This window comes from Homo sapiens, chromosome 3, assembly GCF_000001405.40.
Source record: "Homo sapiens chromosome 3, GRCh38.p14 Primary Assembly".
NCBI lineage: Eukaryota > Metazoa > Chordata > Mammalia > Primates > Hominidae > Homo > Homo sapiens.
The window spans coordinates 168,013,723-168,031,880 of NC_000003.12; the positions used below are offsets into that span (position 1 = coordinate 168,013,723).

The window sequence follows — 18,158 nt, forward strand, 5'->3', positions numbered from 1 at the left end:
GGATTAAGAATCTCACTCAAAACCGCTCAACTACATGGAAACTGAACAACCTGCTCCTGAATGACTACTGGGTACATAACGAAATGAAGGCAGAAATAAAGATGTTCTTTCAAACCAACGAGAACAAAGACACAACATACCAGAATCTCTGGGACGCATTCAAAGCAGTGTGTAGAGGGAAATTTATAGCACTGAATGCCCACAAGAGAAAGCAGGAAAGATCCAAAATTGACACCCTAACATCACAATTAAAAGAACTAGAAAAGCAAGAGCAAACACATTCAAAAGCTAGCAGAAGGCAAGAAATAACTAAAATCAGAGCAGAACTGAAGGAAAAAGAGACACAAAAAACCCTTCAAAAAATTAATGAATCCAGGAGCTGGTTTTTTGAAAGGATCAACAAAATTGATAGACCGCTAGCAAGACTAATAAAGAAAAAAAGAGAGAAGAATCTAATAGATGCAATAAAAAATGATAAAGGGGATATCACCACCGATCCCACAGAAATACAAACTACCATCAGAGAATACTACAAACACCTCTACACAAATATACTAGAAAATCTAGAAGAAATGGATAAATTCCTCGACACATACACTCTCCCAAGACTAAACCAGGAAGAAGTTGAATCTCTGAATAGACCAATAACAGGAGCTGAAATTGTGGCAATAATCAATAGCTTACCAACCAAAAAGAGTCCAGGACCAGATGGATTCACAGCCGAATTCTACCAGAGGTACAAGGAGGAACTGGTACCATTCCTTCTGAAACTATTCCAATCAATAGAAAAAGAGGGAATCCTCCCTAACTCATTTTATGAGGCCAGCATCATTCTGATACAAAGCCAGGCAGAGACACAACAAAAAAAAAGAATTTTAGACCAATATCCTTGATGAACATTGATGCAAAAATCCTCAATAAAATACTGGCAAAACGAATACAGCAGCACATCAAAAAGCTTATCCACCATGATCAAGTGGGCTTCATCCCTGGGATGCAAGGCTGGTTCAATATACGCAAATCAATAAATGTAATCCAGCATATAAACAGAGCCAAAGACAAAAACCACATGATTATCTCAATAGATGCAGAAAAAGCCTTTGACAAAATTCAACAACCCTTCATACTAAAAACTCTCAATAAATTAGGTATTGATGGGACGTATTTCAAAATAATAAGAGCTATCTATGACAAACCCACAGCCAATATCATACTGAATGGGCAAAAACTGGAAGCATTCCCTCTGAAAACTGGCACAAGACAGGGATGCCCTCTCTCACCACTCCTATTCAACATAGTGTTGGAAGTTCTGGCCAGGGCAATTAGGCAGGAGAAGGAAATAAAGGCTATTCAATTAGGAAAAGAGGAAGTCAAATTGTCCCTGTTTGCAGACGACATGATTGTATATCTAGAAAACCCCACTGTCTCAGCCCAAAATCTCCTTAAGCTGATAAGCAACTTCAGCAAAGTCTCAGGATACAAAATCAATGTACAAAAATCACAAGCATTCTTACACACCAGCAACAGACAAACAGAGAGCCAAATCATGAGTGAACTCCCATTCACAATTGCTTCAAAGAGAATAAAATACCCAGGAATCCAACTTACAAGGGATGTGAAGGACCTCTTCAAGGAGAACTACAAACCACTGCTCAAGAAAATAAAAGAGGATACAAACAAATGGAAGAACATTCCATGCTCATGGGTAGGAAGAATCAATATCATGAAAATGGCCATACTGCCCAAGGTAATTTATAGATTCAATGCCATCCCCATCAAGCTACCAATGCCTTTCTTCACAGAATTGGAAAAAACTACTTTAAAGTTCATATGGAACCAAAAAAGAGCCCGCATCGCCAAGTCAATCCTAAGCCAAAAGAACAAAGCCGGAGGCATCACACTACCTGACTTCAAACTATACTACAAGGCTACAGTAACCAAAACAGCATGGTACTGGTACCAAAAGAGAGATATAGATCAATGGAACAGAACAGAGCCCTCAGAAATAACGTCGCATATCTACAACTATCTGATCTTTGACAAACCTGAGAAAAACAAGCAATGGGGAAAGGATTCCCTATTTAATAAATGGTGCTGGGAAAACTGGCTAGCCATATGTAGAAAGCTGAAACTGGATCACTTCCTTACACCTTATACAAAAATCAAGTCAAGATGGATTAAAGACTTAAACGTTAGACCTAAAACCATAAAAACCCTGGAAGAAAACCTAGGCATTACCATTCAGGACATAGGCATGGGCAAGGACTTCATGTCTAAAACACCAAAAGCAATGGCAACAAAAGACAAAATTGACAAATGGGATCTAATTAAACTAAAGAGCTTCTGCACAGCAAAACAAACTACCATCAGAGTGAACAGGAAACCTACAAAATGGGAGAAAATTTTCACAACCTACTCATCTGACAAATGGCTAATATCCAGAATCTACAATGAACTCAAACAAATTTACAAGAAAAAAACAAACAACCCCATCAAAAAGTGGGCGAAGGACATGAACAGACACTTCTCAAAAGAAGACATTTATGCAGACAAAAAACACATGAAAAAATGCTCATCATCACTGGCCATCAGAGAAATGCAAATCAAAACCACAATGAGATACCATCTCACACCAGTTAGAATGGCAATCATTAAAAAGTCAGGAAACAACAGGTGCTGGAGAGGATGTGGAGAAATAGGAACGCTTTTACACTGTTGGTGGGACTGTAAACTAGTTCAACCATTGTGGAAGTCAGTGTGGCGATTCCTCAGGGATCTAGAACTGGAAATACCATTTGACCCAGCCATCCCCTTACTGGGTATATACCCAAAGGATTATAAATCATGCTGCTATAAAGACACATGCACATGTATGTTTATTGTGGCATTATTCACAATAGCAAAGACTTGGAACCAACCCAAATGTCCAACAATGATAGACTGGATTAAGAAAATGTGGCACATATACACCATGGAATACTATGCAGCCATAAAAAAGTATGAGTTCATGTCCTTTGTAGGGACATGGATGAAATTGGAAAACATCATTCTCAGTAAACTATCGCAAGAACAAAAAACCAAACACCGCATATTCTCACTCATAGGTGGGAATTGAACAATGAGATCACATGGACACAGGAAGGGGAATATTACACTCTGGGGACTGTGGTGGGGTGGAGGGAGGGGCGAGGGATAGCATTGGGAAATATACCTAATGCTAGATGACGAGTTAGTGGGTGCAGTGCACCAGCATGGCACATGTATACATATGTAACTAACCTGCACAATGTGCACATGTACCCTAAAACTTAAAGTATAATAATAATAAAAAAAAGAAATGTATAATACACCTATTACAAAAATCAATGTGATTGATCCTGAATGTAGGACTTTTCTGTTTGAATTTCTGGTTTATCTGAATAATGGTTAAAATTCCAAATATAAAACATCTGAAGACATTTAGCTTGTAAAATCAAAAATTCTGGCCAGGCGTGGTGGCTCACACCTGTAATCCCAGCACTTTGTGGGACTGAGGCAAGAGGATCACTTGAGCCCAGGAATTTGAGTCCTGGGAAACAAAGTGAGACCCTGTCTCTACAAAAAAGAAAAATTTATAAAATTAGCTGGGCCTAGTGGTGCACGCCTGTAGTCTCAGCTACTCGGGAGGCTGAGGCAGAGGATCGATTGAGCTCTGGAGGTCAAAGTTGCAGTAAGCTATGTTTGTGTCACTGCACAACAGCCTCGATGACTCAGCAAGACCCTGTCTCCCCAAAAATAAAATAATAAAATTAAAATTCCCATTTCTGTATATGGGAGAACTGTAGAAATTTGAGAGCTGTGACACAATGTAAGTTCTATGGAGGCAGGAACTGCCTGTCTTATTCAAGTCACTATCTAGATCAAGCTTGTCCAACCTGTGGCCTCTGTAAATCCTCTGTAAAGGCACAAAGGATAGACACCGCTGCCTACATACAATATAGTAGAAATTTTATGTATCTATTCTATACTTAAGAATATATTTCTCTGGCTAAGATATCTAGAAAATAAAATACAATCATTTCAATTTCTTTATGAAATAGTCTATTGAACTGCCTCAAAAATTCCTCTCTCTCTTTAGTGTTCTAATACAACCTTTCTGTTTTAAGTAGTTTTCATTCATGTGCACTATTATTACTGTGTAAATGATCCCAATATTTATCTCAAAATGTAAACTAAAGCAAGCATCCAAATATTTGTGCTAAATAGTCTCTATTTAATGATCATATCTCACAGAAATACAGGGTAGGGCATTTTCTAACTTGTTAACTATTTTGAAAACCATACATATGCCAAAATGTTTAAGTCACTTGAATGCATTTCAAAAAAACTGCTGAACATCGGTTAAGTATAATGCAGTCTCCTAATACCAAAGAAAGTCCGATCTTTTCTAGGATCAGAGAATAAGATCCTTGAATAACACAAAAATCACTTATTTTGGTGGGGGGAGTGGAGGAGACTGTGGAAAAATCTAAGAAATGAACAACGGAAGAAAAGTATACAGATGCTATAATTCAGAAGAAACAAATTACGTGCTGCCTGAAGGTGTACAGCCCAGGTGAGACAAGAATGAACTGCAGCCTCACAGAAGAGCTTTGGACAAAACTTGGCCTGTCGAGAGCCTACAAAGGTGACTCTTCAAAGATACCCTGGGCAGAGCCAAACCATTGTGAACCTCTTCTAACCAGTCCAACGCCAGTTTGACCCACAGCCTCTAAACTAACCTCAAAATAAATACATTTTGAGGACAAAGGCATCGAATATCTATTGTATTCATATTTCCTGGTGGAATGAGCTAAAGACCTATCTTGTCTCACCTTATGGTTCTATCAGTGGTCCATAACATCTCCTCTGCCCATAGTCGTAGAACCTCATAGTGACATTCCACAGGACATTGGGATGAAAACAATGAAGTACTTACTTCAGGCCTATCTTAAGGTCTGACTAATTGAAACGTCATTAAATTGCTGAAGTGTCCCTGTCAATTTTGATTAACAAAGACATGTCTTTTACAGCCTTAATAATGAAAATATATTATTTATAAACATTAAAATGTTGTAGTTGAGACTGGGGGAAAAAACAGCCTTGAGTCTATGCCGTATGGCAGGAAGAATATCTAAATCAGAGATCAGCAAACTTTTTGTGTGAAGGGCCAGATAGCAAATACTTAGGCTTTCTTAGCCATAAGGTCTCTCACAATACAACTTGACCACTCTATGTAGCACAAAAAAAAAAAAAGAAAACAAAAAACTATAGACAATACGTAAACAAGCAGACATGTTTGTGTTCCAATAAAACTTTACTTATGAACCAGGCTGCAGCCTGTAGTTTGCCAACTCCTAACATATACTATGGAGTCAGAAAGACCTGGACTAAAGACTTGGCTCTGCAACTTTTCTGACTGTATAAATCATAAGGTCAATTGTTTTTGTTATGAAAATCTTTAAGCACATGCAAACGAAGAAAATCATTCAATAAACCCCTTAGAGCCACCTCCAATGTTCAAAAGCTATTTCAATATTGCCACACCTGCATCATCTATCACTTTTCTATTTTTTACAGTGAATTATTCTTAAAAATTCAAGATATGTAATTTTACCTTCACGTATCACAGTATATATATCTAAAAACAATAAACAACTTATATAATCATACTGTGATTATCACACCTGATAAAATAATTCCATAGTAGCATCTGATGTCTCATCCATACTTACATTTTTATCATTGTCCTAATGCCTGTTTACAGTTGGTATATTCTAATCATGATTTAAAGGAAAAGAACACATAACATGGGATTCACTCCCCTTTTTTCCCTACTGCTATGGATTTGCAGTACTGTAAAATGACCCACATTCTGAATTTATTTGCTTCTTTATATCACTTAACTCATTTCTCTAGTCTCAACATTTCCTATAAATGGAAGTTAGCATAAAAGTTTGAATGAACTCAGGTTCGATTTTAAAAATAAGGGTATTTCAGAGGTGATGGTGTATATTTCACACATATTTTTTAAATCACATCAGGAGGCACACACATTTATTTGTCCCACTTTTAGTAAGGCTAAGGTTGGCCAGTGAGCTCAGGTGGTGACAGCCTGATCCCTTCATGGTAAAGTTCCCTGACCTCTGTTCATCTAGTAACATCATTCATTGATGACTGTTGCTTAGATCAATTGCTTCAATTAGGGGTTACAAAAAAAAATGGTCACTTTGTATTTCCATTGTTCTGTCTATATTCACTAATTTCTATAAAGAACTTCCCCACATCAACTATATAGTTACTGTGCATGGTACACTTAATTACGGTAGCCTTTAAAATCAGACCTAGGTGAGCTCTAATCATGTTTCTAACAATAAATAAAAGCTATGCAACCTTCCAATTTTTAACTAATCCCTCTGAAGCCCAAATTTCTTGTATGTAAAATAATAGCATTGGGTGAAAAATCAATGATCCTTAATTTCCTGTATGTATGTGTGGTTGGGGAGTCATGGACCCTTTTAAGACTTTGGTTAGAAAGTCTTTAGCAAATGGGCATATATACACAGATAGGAGTTTCAGACTTCCCAGATGCCATCCACAACTGTCTGCCCTAGGACTATTTCTCTAAACAGTATGATCCTGAGCCGTCAGAATCAGCTGGTGGTGGGCGGGTGAAGGGGCACTTATGAAGAACTCTGCTTCCTAGGTTCCATAACAGATAAGATCAAAATCTCAAGGGTAAGGGTCTGGTCCAGAAATCTGTGTATGCCACAAACTCTTCAAGGTGATCCTTATTCACAGCAAAGACAAAGAACTATTTCCTTGAGTAATGGATGCTAGGTTATCTCATTAGTCTCTGGAGATGGGCTATAGAAAATTTAGCTTGTTTACCAGTTGTCAATATAATCTTATTTAGAGACCACTGATTTCAACGACTCTTTAGGGAACCCACAAATGAAAATTTTGTAATTTTCCACACATATAGAGAACAAACTCTTAGTTAAATACACATTATTATTCTAGTAATATATTACTGATATTTGGGGCAAAAGCAATGCAAACTCATCTGAAAGGCAGTAATGCCTTTAAGTAATGCTTCTCAGTAATGTAAAGGAACAAAATGATATGGAGGTTCTAACTGATCTTTAAAATATGACTAGAATAATAAGCAGAAGCCAAATGATATTCTTTTATAATGTAGACATACAGATTATGTCTCCCACAACTGGCCCTCTTAGCAACCTGCTAAAGCTGTCACAATGCTTTGTCAGATTTCCCAAACAATGCTTCTTGTTACTCATTTTTATCTACTGAAATATGTTCTAGGCATTTTAGAAATGAGCCTTATCTGATGACACAAAGTTTAATAAACGGCCAAATCCAAAATAAAACAGGTCCACTGAGAAGAGTCTGAAATGGGCTTTGGCTAGATATCCTCTCTTGGTGTCTATTAACACCTTTCTTTTACACATTGAAGATATTATGGGTGTGCCAGGGCAGAGAGCTGAGCCTCAAGTAGGTAAGAACAGTAGGATCCAAAGAGATAGATAGAATGTGATGAACAAAAGGCCTTCAGCAACATTAGCTATAGTGACGAACACCCTGCTTTAACAAGAGAGTTTCTTCCAATCGAAAAGCTTCTTGGCCAGGCATGGTGGCTCACACCTGTAATCCCAGCACTTTGGGAGGCAGAGGTGGGAGGATCACCTGAGGTCAGGAGTTCAAGACTAGCCTGGCCAGCATGGTGAAATCCCATCTCTACTAAAAATACAAAAATTAGCCGGGTATGGTGGCAGAAGTCTGTAATGCCAGCTACTCGGGAGGCTGAGGCAGGAGAATTGCTTGAACCCGGAAGGCGGAGGTTGCAGTGAGCCGAGATCACCTCATTGCACTCCAGCCTGGGTGACAGTCAGACTCTGTCTCAAAAAACAAAAAACAAAAAACAAAAAAAAAAGAAAAGCTTCTTGACACGGTGATTCACAGGCTGGTAGTCTCATGTAGGTGTACGTACATATTTGGCCAGTGAAGGTGAACAAATGCCTTGTACTTATTCTCTTCTGCATGTTCAGATTAATCAGTTTTCAGTTACACTGAGGGAAATTAAAGTATTCTGATTTCTTGGTCATTTAATCTATATATTTTTGAACATGTAAGTAATTTTAAAGCTTACACGGCACTTTTTGGCAATGCCATAAATTGTCTTGTTTGCTTACAAGGCGATAAAACGTTTGGAATGTAAGCAACGTAAGGAAGGGATCATGCCTTCCATTCAAACAATCCCAAACAAGAAACAAGAAATGCTTGTAAGTCTTAGAAAGATAACACTACTGCACTAAGATAAAAGAAGGCAGAGTAGTATAAATTTCCTAAAATCATACTTCTTTTGGGTCCTCTTAGAGGCCAAGTCTGTAAGTTTGATGGGCTATACCTCTGAACAGGTGTGGCCCAGGCAAGAGGCAATTCTTCCCCAGGAGGAAATGCTGACAGAAATAAGTTTGTGCGCTGGAGAGGAAGGGAAGCGATGGCAGCCACAGGCCTTGCATTCTAGTGGTTAGCTGGGGCAGCTGCAAGACTCTAAGGTTAAATGGAGATTAAAAAAAAAAAAACAACAACAACAATAATGCACAGTTCCACAACATTTCATGGTTTTTCAGAGTGCTTCCACCAATGAGGTTTCATACACATATGCACTTATAAACAATGCAGTATGTGTTTCCATATTCTATGTTCCCCTTTATTTTTCTCATTTTGCCATAGTCTGACAAGAACTTTGTCTCTATCACTAGTGCTTAAATGGTATTTGGGAACCACTCTTCTCCTCTCTCAAGGGAAGACCTGGGAACGATGGACAGAGGTGGGAAGATGCAAACATTAATCATCTCATAACCACACACAAAAATACAACACAACATGAACAAGGGACACTCGGGGGCAGAGAGGAAAGTTTACACTGGGAAGAAAAAAAGGCACGTGGGACTTCCACTAAGAGCACATGGAGCAACAGTTCTCAGTGATGGGGTGGTAACCTGGAGCACATGCTGGAGGAGGCCTGAACACTGCTTTAAGAATTTTTGGCAGGGAACCAGGTAAACCGAATTAGGACCTGGGGCCAGGTGCAGCAAGAGGAAGAGTCCTGTCAGTCCAGCAGATCTGAAGGGGATGACTGGTGGGATGAGGAGCAGTTGCTGAGTTTAGGCAGCACTCAGCCAGGGCAACCTCCTCTGTCTTAGCACCATTTCTCCTTTCCTCTTGCCTCTTTCTTCTCTTTCTACTCTTGATTCCTCTTGGATCTCAGGATTTCTCTCCTGTACCTTAACTGATCATAATATAAAATTGAAAAGGAATCAGTAAACACTGGTTAAAATTTTATGTTTAATCTTCTGAATTTTTAAAAAAGAAGCCAAGGTGAACTTTTCTCTTTTAATCCCTCAAAGATTCCTAGTATTGGACATAATAAAACAAAGTGGTATTAGTCTAGACATCCTGTTATATGAGAAGCCTGGATGAATATCTTTTTCTTGCCCAATGTCTTAATATTCAAGGTCACTATTTTCTCTGCTGCTCTCTTTCTGACAAGACAGCCAAGGGTCTTGATTAGGATGAGAAACCAAAGAACAAAAAGATCAAGCCAGTTAAAGTGCATGTTATTAGAAATGTTGCCAGTGACCTTAAAGAGCAACATCCTTTTCTGTTTTCCTGGTATAAGCACAAATTTTATCATCAGCTCTGAAAAGCTTACAAAATCAGTAAGAACAAGAAAGCAGACCTAGTCGAGGGAACTGTGTGTGTGAGAGCACAGCTCATGATTTCTGCACAGGATCTCCAGTGATGGGGTGTGTCTGTTCAGTCTGCCATATGTCCATCCTCCCATGGGGTTCCCCATAGGGATAAAACCACACATTTGCAAGACACCTGGCTGAGAAGCAGCTCTGAACCAGGGTTTTAATTTGGGAACTACTTACTGGTCCATAATGAGACTAAATACAGGGTCTTGGCCTAATTTGTATCAGACTCTTAAATATTGCAGTTGTTTATGCAGCGGAATGCTGTGATAAAACGGCTACAACAAGCAGCATTCACCAATTACACCACATGCAGCACCACAATAATCAACTACACCGTAAGCAGCACCACAATAAACGCTACTTATATCTAATTAACAACAAGATGCCCGAAGTTTACAATGAAAAGCAAACTAAAATATTAAGAAACTCTATCCAAATGCATTTTATTCAGCTGAGCTCTTTACATCTTTTTCCTCCTCTTTTATTGTTAAATTTAATTAAGATACTGAATTCTTAAGAAGGAAGAGGCCAGAAGGAGAGACTGTAAAATTTACAAAAATGTTTGGAGGGTGTTAAGTGGATTCCGATAGACACTATGGGGTATTCCTGTGAGGTAGGCACTGGGGAGATGCCTGAAGAGAAAGTTACAGGGGCAGTCCAGATTCCCTCAATGTGCAGAGGGAGAGAGGAGAAAATATTCTTACAAAAGATTGCACAAATCTAAGTCCACCATTCCTGGAAAGCCAAATGCCTTCTTAATTCAAAATTTCAGGTGAGAACCAAAGAGATGGATTCTATTACCCTGCTTTTGTTATCTTCTAACCAAATGTCTCCAGTGCCATGATCCATTTTTGCTTTAAACCACCCTTTCTTATCCTGCTTAAATTTTTCTGAACATTTCTGTGGAAGGCATGTCAAAGTCAATACTGCTGAGGTTTGTTTAAGGTTAGTGTGTGTGACAGACCAATCTGATCAGTCTCTGGGATTCAATCCTTACTACCTCCTCTTCTGCCTCTTCCTGGTACTGTTCATCAACATTGTCCTCCTGCTGGTCTGGATTTCCTGCCATCTGTTGGAAACAAAAGGGCAGGTTCATGTTACTGTACATCAGAGATGCCTTTTACACAGTACTCTGGGACAAAGAACAAGCATGCCACCATGAAAAGGGCACTTTCAAAGCGTCTGTGGCCAGGAAATGATGAGTAATCATTCCCAATACAAAGCCCAGGATGTCCGTTACCCTCTCTCTCAGAGTACAGGCATATCATGTCATAAAGTGGCCTAAAAACCACCGAAGTGGCAAACCTTCCGTCAATGTGGAATATGACTAACCTTTTACATAAACCAGATGTTTCTTAAAATAGCCCAGTTAAATCCACCCTTCCTCGTGGCATCTGCTTACCACCAAATGTTCCTCCACTTCTGTATTCTCTTGCTTTTGATTACTTTGTTTTTGCTCTTCATTTTCATCTGGCAAATTTTCTTCTCTCACTTGCTCGGCTTCTTCAAATTCATCCTCACCTTGATTATTAGGGTCATCTGCTGGGTTTATATCTTCTACAGCTGCCCTCTGTAAAATTTTAATAAAAAGCAACTATCACTTCAAAACTGAGGATCAAGTTTAATTTCATTTGAAAAGGCTGCCCACTGGCAGAAAATGAAATTGTCCTTCCCTCAATTGTTCAGATCTATCCTTGCCAAGACTCACAAGAATCAAGCATCACACTGTCAAAAGAGAAAACTCCTGCTTTACTTGTCAGAGGCTTGATGAATCAGAATGAGGTTCAAATAGCACTTCTTTCCTGCAAGTGATTTCAAAATAGTTCTCAAAACTCTACTGACACAAGTAATGTGAACAGAACTGAATAAACAAGAAAATAATTAATAAAAGTCAGAGGACCAAGTGACAAAAAAAATACTAATTTAGGTGGGGGATTTAGATGGGCAATTAACTCTTTTTGCTATGTTGATTTTTATAGTAACTTCCCTGTGCAAGCAATTTTTAACATGTCAGCAGGTGAAAAGTTGTTGATGGGAAAGAAGGCCCATACCAGAAAGGACCCATAAAAAGGATACGAAAAGGAGACAAGAAAAAGGCTAATTCAAAAGGAAATGGTCATTTTCTAGTATGGATCCAATTTCTTTATTAACAATCATTCCCATGAAACAGAGAGATGCTGAACTGGCGAGGGATGGGAGTTAAAAAGGGCTGAGCTACCCAACTGCCCAATAGGGCAATATATTATGAAAAATGTCCTCCCAACTCATCTCCCAAATTACTGTGCTCAACAAAGGCCCTTCATATTATCAACTTTAGAATTATTTCAATTTTCCACTTAAGCTCCCAAAGCACCTTCCAAATAATACACATCCTAATAAAGATTTAGATTTTAGAGCCTGAGATGGAGAGGAACAGTGATGCTTGTCATGAGCTTCCCCAATCACTCGCAGGTCATCAATAGGACACTTACTAAGCTGTAAATGCTTCTAAGAGACAGTAAAGCCACAGAGTAGGATTTGGTCTCTATCAGTATTCTCCAGACAAGATTCTACTTCAATTCACTTAGGAGTCTTGAACATGTTTGAGAGTTCACTGCCATCTCAGCTGATCTATTATCTGCACATCCCTGGCCATGAATGTTACTCCAGTGCAAATGACACTATTCTTGGGAACGTAGAGACTACCAAATTACCACCTTCACACTAAACTCTAATTACTCCACAATCTCTTGTCATATGGATTTTCTTTAGTGCACTATCAAAAATTTGTATGGAATTACAGGAAAAATGTAACATATTCTTTTCAGAAAAAAGTACCAAATATCTTTTGCAAACGTTCATAAAATTGACTAGCTCAACTCCGACCACGTAACAGGTATGAATTAGCAGGCACAGTTGTTACGTTCAAATAAAACAGAAAGAGAGGAACAAGTGGGATTAACCATTTCTAATTAAAAGGAAGAATGGTACAAAGGCCAATGTTTCCCAGCATGTTCCCCAAAACAAACAAACAGATGACAGGAAAGTAAAGGATCATATAGTCAAGAAATCAAAGCCTACAGCAGTTCCCAAACAAGTGACTGAAATGCCCTTCCTCCCACCCCATGCACATTTGCAGGCCTTTGTACACTTGCTTTCTTGCTCTCTCCTGGATAGTCTCTTGCTCTCTCATATGTTTCTGCTCTCAAGTATTAGCCTTTTCCTGAAAATATTTCAGGACTAGGTTCCCTGGAGCATATTTTCAGAAATCTTGATGCAAGGAATGCCAGGGAAAGGTGTTCTGCCACATCTCAGTGCAAGTTAAGTGGAAAAGCTGTTTCCAGCAAAAGGGCTTTAAGTAGCTAGCAGGATGACTTTCTTGATGATTAGCAAGGACATGGGTCCTCCTTTTAATCAGGGCTCATGTGACATAGCACAGACCGACTGTTATAAACATGGTAGTTGATCTATTAGCAAGAGATGACAGGGCAGCTAAAATAAGCTGTAAAAATCATCTACGCATACACGCAGGAACAGACTCACTAAACATTTGCTTGCTTCACTTGTAGGCAGGGCCAAGGATCTAGCCCACCCAGCTGAACTAGAGGTCTCAGTCTTTTTTGGTAAACACAAACAACAATGCTGGTTATTAGATGTCTACCTACTTATATTATAAATTTTCTGTACCATTGCATACCTGAACAACTCTTCATGTCTCAGACCACATATCCTTATCCATATATTTATTAAAATGGTCACTAGACTGCTAAGAGATTACAGAGAGTCACACAAATACCTAACACTCTAGCAGACTGCTCAACATGCTCAGGAAGGGTTAGTTTCCTTTCTCTGGTCCCATCTCCAACTTCCACACTTGCCTTTTATTCCTCCTAGCTTTCAGAGTTACTACATATTTCAGTGTCTCTCAGTTTTGCTTTTCTAGGTTTTAGTTTTATTAATCTAAAAGTCATCAGAAAAAAAAAATCCTGGTTTTGTTTTTTTTTTTCCCCCAGAGCAACTTTTAAACCAGCTCATCACATACACGTACACCATGGTTTACAGTTAAAAACACTGCCCATATATAATTATGCAAGCCATTTTCCTTCTGGGCTGAGGATATAACAGAAATATCTGGGGCTGAAGGCTGGCATCAGGCAAGTTTTCAACTCTCTTTCCCACCTTATGAGTTTACATGTGTCAGGGGCAGAAGAGAGGATACTTACATCTGCCTCAGATTCTGGGTCGGCTTCTCGGGGTCCTTGTTCACGAGGCTCATGTCTATTACCTGGATCTCCTTCTGCTTCATCTTGGTGCTGGTTGTCTCTTTCATAGGCTAGCAAATCAAAGGAACTAAAATCAGCCCAAAATGAATCAAACAGGATTTCCCTTTCAACTCAAAGAAAAGCCACCAGTGGACTTTTCTACAGACTACAATACCTCCACCTCTGTTAACTCAACATAAGGCCTATGTCCTGGCTTTTCTGAATAAGGTTATGTTCTCTTCACAGACTGTGTGTCTAGAGAGATGATATGGGTCAGACACTTTTCTTCTAAAATAAATATTTTTCACAGGAGCTGTAATTTTTCCCCCATATGCAAGAAAACAACAACAATCAAAACTCTCTCAATAAAAGAAAGCCCAGTTGATTGGACACTGCTGAAGAAATCAACTAATGTTTGATAATATCAGAGGAAGTAGCTGGGCTCCAAAAGAAGAAATTGATAGTTTCAGGAAATGCAAGGAAGAACTGCCCCATCTGTGGAGCTCAGAAACAAATATAGCCCATCACATGTTTTCTGATGTCATCACAGTAATGATGATGACCGCCACAGCCCAGAAACAGCACACATTCATACTCAGACATTTACTTGCTGCTTTTTGAAAAAATATTTAGATAAAGAGAATTGTATGAGCACAAAAAGAGAAGAACAAATCACTTTTTAAAACAAGTAAGATAGAAGAGGAAAGTTTAAGTATATGGAGTGTACTAAGCCTAGAGAAAATGATGATACGGGGTAACTTACCATCAGCCTTCAAGTGCACAAAGGGGTTTACTACATAGAGAAGAGGACAAGCCATTCTCTAGTCTTACTGATATGAGAACAAAAAAGCTTAAAGTGCCACATGGCGGACATAAGGAAAACAATTTCTTGACTGTAAGAGCTGTAAGATATCACAACGGGCTATTGAGGGAGGTTGTATGTAATCACTTTCTTTCTGACTTTTTAGAAAAAGATACACATCTAAGTGTTAGTGGTGCCAGAGAGACAGTAAGTTACATTCTGGTTCTATTATAACAGTAAGCAATATTTGATAAATTACATATTAAGTGCTTATCATAAATGAAAGCTACTATTGACTTAATTTGAAAACATTTTAAGGCAATGATGTGAGGACTTCCAAGGTAAGGAGAAAATGCAGATGTTTCCCAAAGCATAATAATCCTATAATAATTTGTCAGAAATATTATAAATATTTAGTATATAAAAAGCTTAAACTACAGGGAAAATGATAGAGAGGAAACAGATTATCTTGAGCATTTTTCACTACCAGCATGTACTGTTTAAGAGGATTAAGAAAAAGACATGATTCACAAACCTCCTTTGCACTTAGGTATGCATACAGCTCATTGATGTTATATAATATTGGCTCACTGATAATATACAATGTTATCAAGTAATTTATTAAAACATTCATCATCTAGGAAGTCTCACCACCTCCTTCCTCTCCTTGGATTCCCTGGTCCTCTGCTCCCTGAACGATATCATTATCCATAGCATCATAATGAGCTTGCTGCCTACAAGAGACACAAACATGATAAATCCAGTGGGACAAAATTCAGAGGCACAGTTTGACATAGGTCATTTATCTTTAAAGACAGTAATAAGTAATGTTTCTCAACATTTTTAAGAAGCCATGAAAAATTTTTAAAAACCTCTTATGTATGCAATTAGGTATAATAAAAATTCCAGATACACTTTCAAAAGGTATCTTAAAAAGATAAAATATCTTTTAAAGATAAAATAAAATAAAGTTGGCACAAAGCCTGCAAGGCTATTTGGAGACCTAACCTACCACTTTTGAGCAGAAAAAAAATATTATTTTTAAAATTAAATATTTGGTATTTAATTTTCAAGTAGCTGTCCTGCCTTGGCTATTTGAGCAATATGAGCCCCTTAACTTCATGAATCACAAATGCACAAAACTGTTTTTAATTTGCGTATGAAAACTGGAGCAGGGGCTGTCTTCGTTCATTAAGGAAGGGGAAGGCTACCGGAGCTGCTCCTGGTGCTGCGGCCGGCCCTCCTCAAGCTCAGCCTGCCTCTGCAGGGCCATCTCTCTTGCCACCTGCTGCTGCTGCTGTTCCTGCTGCCGTAGTAAGTGCCCCTGCAGCCTCTGCTGGTGCAAAGCTTCCTGGTGTTCCCGCAGCTGCTGGGCCTCCTCCACCTGCTGCACTGCCAGTCTCTGCTGTTCCAACTGTTCCTCATAGGGTGATTGGAATTTGATCATTGGCTTGGCTGAAGGGTACACCTAGGGTGAAAAAGAGTTGGTGCAGAGCAAGAGGGGTTAGCTCCTCTGGGTTTTCTCTTCATTTGTTTCTCCTGACAAACTCAGGAGGCAGAGCTGGTTTATTAACGACTATTTGTCAGGTGAACTGTGATTATACATGAAGTCCAAAAACTCCTATTTCCCAACTTTCTCTGAATCACCCTTGGCTTTTTTAGCAGCTGATATTTCCAACTACTGCTATTAAGGCAGATTTTCAATGTGCTCCCTTCTCAAATGGAACAGAAGGGACAACCGAAGATAACAGTTTCAAACTGTAAAATTTATGTTCACAAGGCTCTGATATAAACAAGTAGTTGGTAACTTTGGTAACTTCACATTAACTGGGCAATCTGTGACCTTATGCTACGCCTAAGGCTTTTTCCATGAACAGTTAAAGACCGAGGGATGCTAATTAACTCTAGTAATGTATATACCAATCCCAGGCTAAGCATAGCCAAAAAAAAAAAAAAAAAAAGCCACATTCCAGGTAATAGTGGAAAAGCAGATATTCAATTTTTTTTCAAAGAAACTAAGAATGGCTGAGAAGATGGTGCCTTCTGATTAAAGGGAAATCTGATACAGCAATTCTTAAAACTCTGCTTCCCTGAGATATTATCTCACCCCAGTTATAATGGCTTTTATCAAAAAGGCAACAACAAACGCTAGTGAGGATGTGGAGAAAGGGGAACCCTCGTACGCTGTTGGTGAGAATGTAAATTAGTATAGCCAATATGAAAAACAGTATGGAGGTTCCTCAAAAAGCTAAAAATAGAACCACCATATGATCCAGCTATCCTATTACTGGGCACATATCCAAAAGAAAGGAAATTGCTATATTGAAGAGATACTTGCACTCTCAGGTTTATTGCAGCATTACTCACAATGGCTAAAACATGAAATCAACCTAAGCATCCATCAACGGATGAATGGATAAAGAAAATGTGGTACATATACACAGTCATAAAAAAGAATGAAATCTTGTCATACGCAGTGACATGGATGGAACTGGAGGCCATTATGTTAAGTGAAAAACTTCAAGCACAGAAAGACATACATTGCATATTCTCATTCATGTAGGAGCTTAAAAAAGCGATATTGATAAGATAGAGTGGATTGGTGGTTACTAGAAGCTGGGAAGGGGGATGAAGAGAGACTGATGAATGGTACAAACATATAGTTAGAGAGAAGGAATAAGACCTAATGTTTGGTAGTTCAGTAGGGTGACTACGATTAACAATAATCTATCTTATATTTCAAAACAGCTAGAAGAATTTGAATGCTCCCAAAATAAAAAAGAGATAAATGTTTGATGTGATGGGTTATCTAGGTTTGATGTGATGGGTTATCTAGATTTGATCATTATACATTATATGAATGTTTCAAAATATCGCCCATACTCTGAAAATATATACATATATTATGCATCAATAAAAAGTGTCTGTACCCCATTGAGCTACTACCCATCCTCCCTGCCATACCCCAACTAACAAAAGCACACACAATTCTCACTTAAGGAAAGAGGTAGAGGGTTGGGAAGTAAAGCTGGTGGGGAATTACTTCCCCTATTGGGGAAGGACACAAGACTGGAAGAAGCTTTCTGAGGTTAAGTTTGCAACTACCTAAGAGGGCAACTACAGAGGTCTTCACACCTGCTTAGCCTAAAGCCTCAAGCGGCTTGAAGTCTCAGAAAATCTGAGGCCGAATAAAACTTCAGAGTTATAAATAGAAGGTGATCCACACCCATGTAAAGGCCAGGTAACCTACTATTGAGACTCAGTTTAGAGACAGTAAAAGAAAGGCATCTAGCTGCACTAACTGTTGGTTTA

The 18,158-nt window shown here is 38.7% G+C and overlaps 1 protein-coding gene across 5 annotated transcripts in view; it reads right to left on the reverse strand.

Annotated features, from left to right (window-relative positions):
* Window positions 1–18,158, reverse strand: part of GOLIM4 (golgi integral membrane protein 4) — an 87,236-nt gene that overhangs the window by 5,034 nt on the left and 64,044 nt on the right. For 3 of the 5 annotated variants that reach the window (XM_005247365.4, XM_005247364.4, XM_047447978.1), the window contains 5 exons: window positions 16,058–16,314; window positions 15,498–15,580; window positions 14,006–14,115; window positions 11,206–11,373; window positions 10,804–10,872 (listed from right to left, as the gene is read on the reverse strand). In XM_005247365.4, the coding sequence (XP_005247422.1) occupies window positions 10,804–10,872; window positions 11,206–11,373; window positions 14,006–14,115; window positions 15,498–15,580; window positions 16,058–16,314 (687 nt within the window). The remainder of the gene's footprint in view (window positions 1–10,803; window positions 10,873–11,205; window positions 11,374–14,005; window positions 14,116–15,497; window positions 15,581–16,057; window positions 16,315–18,158) is intronic. The other 2 variants (NM_001308155.2, NM_014498.5) reach the window with 1 other exon arrangement.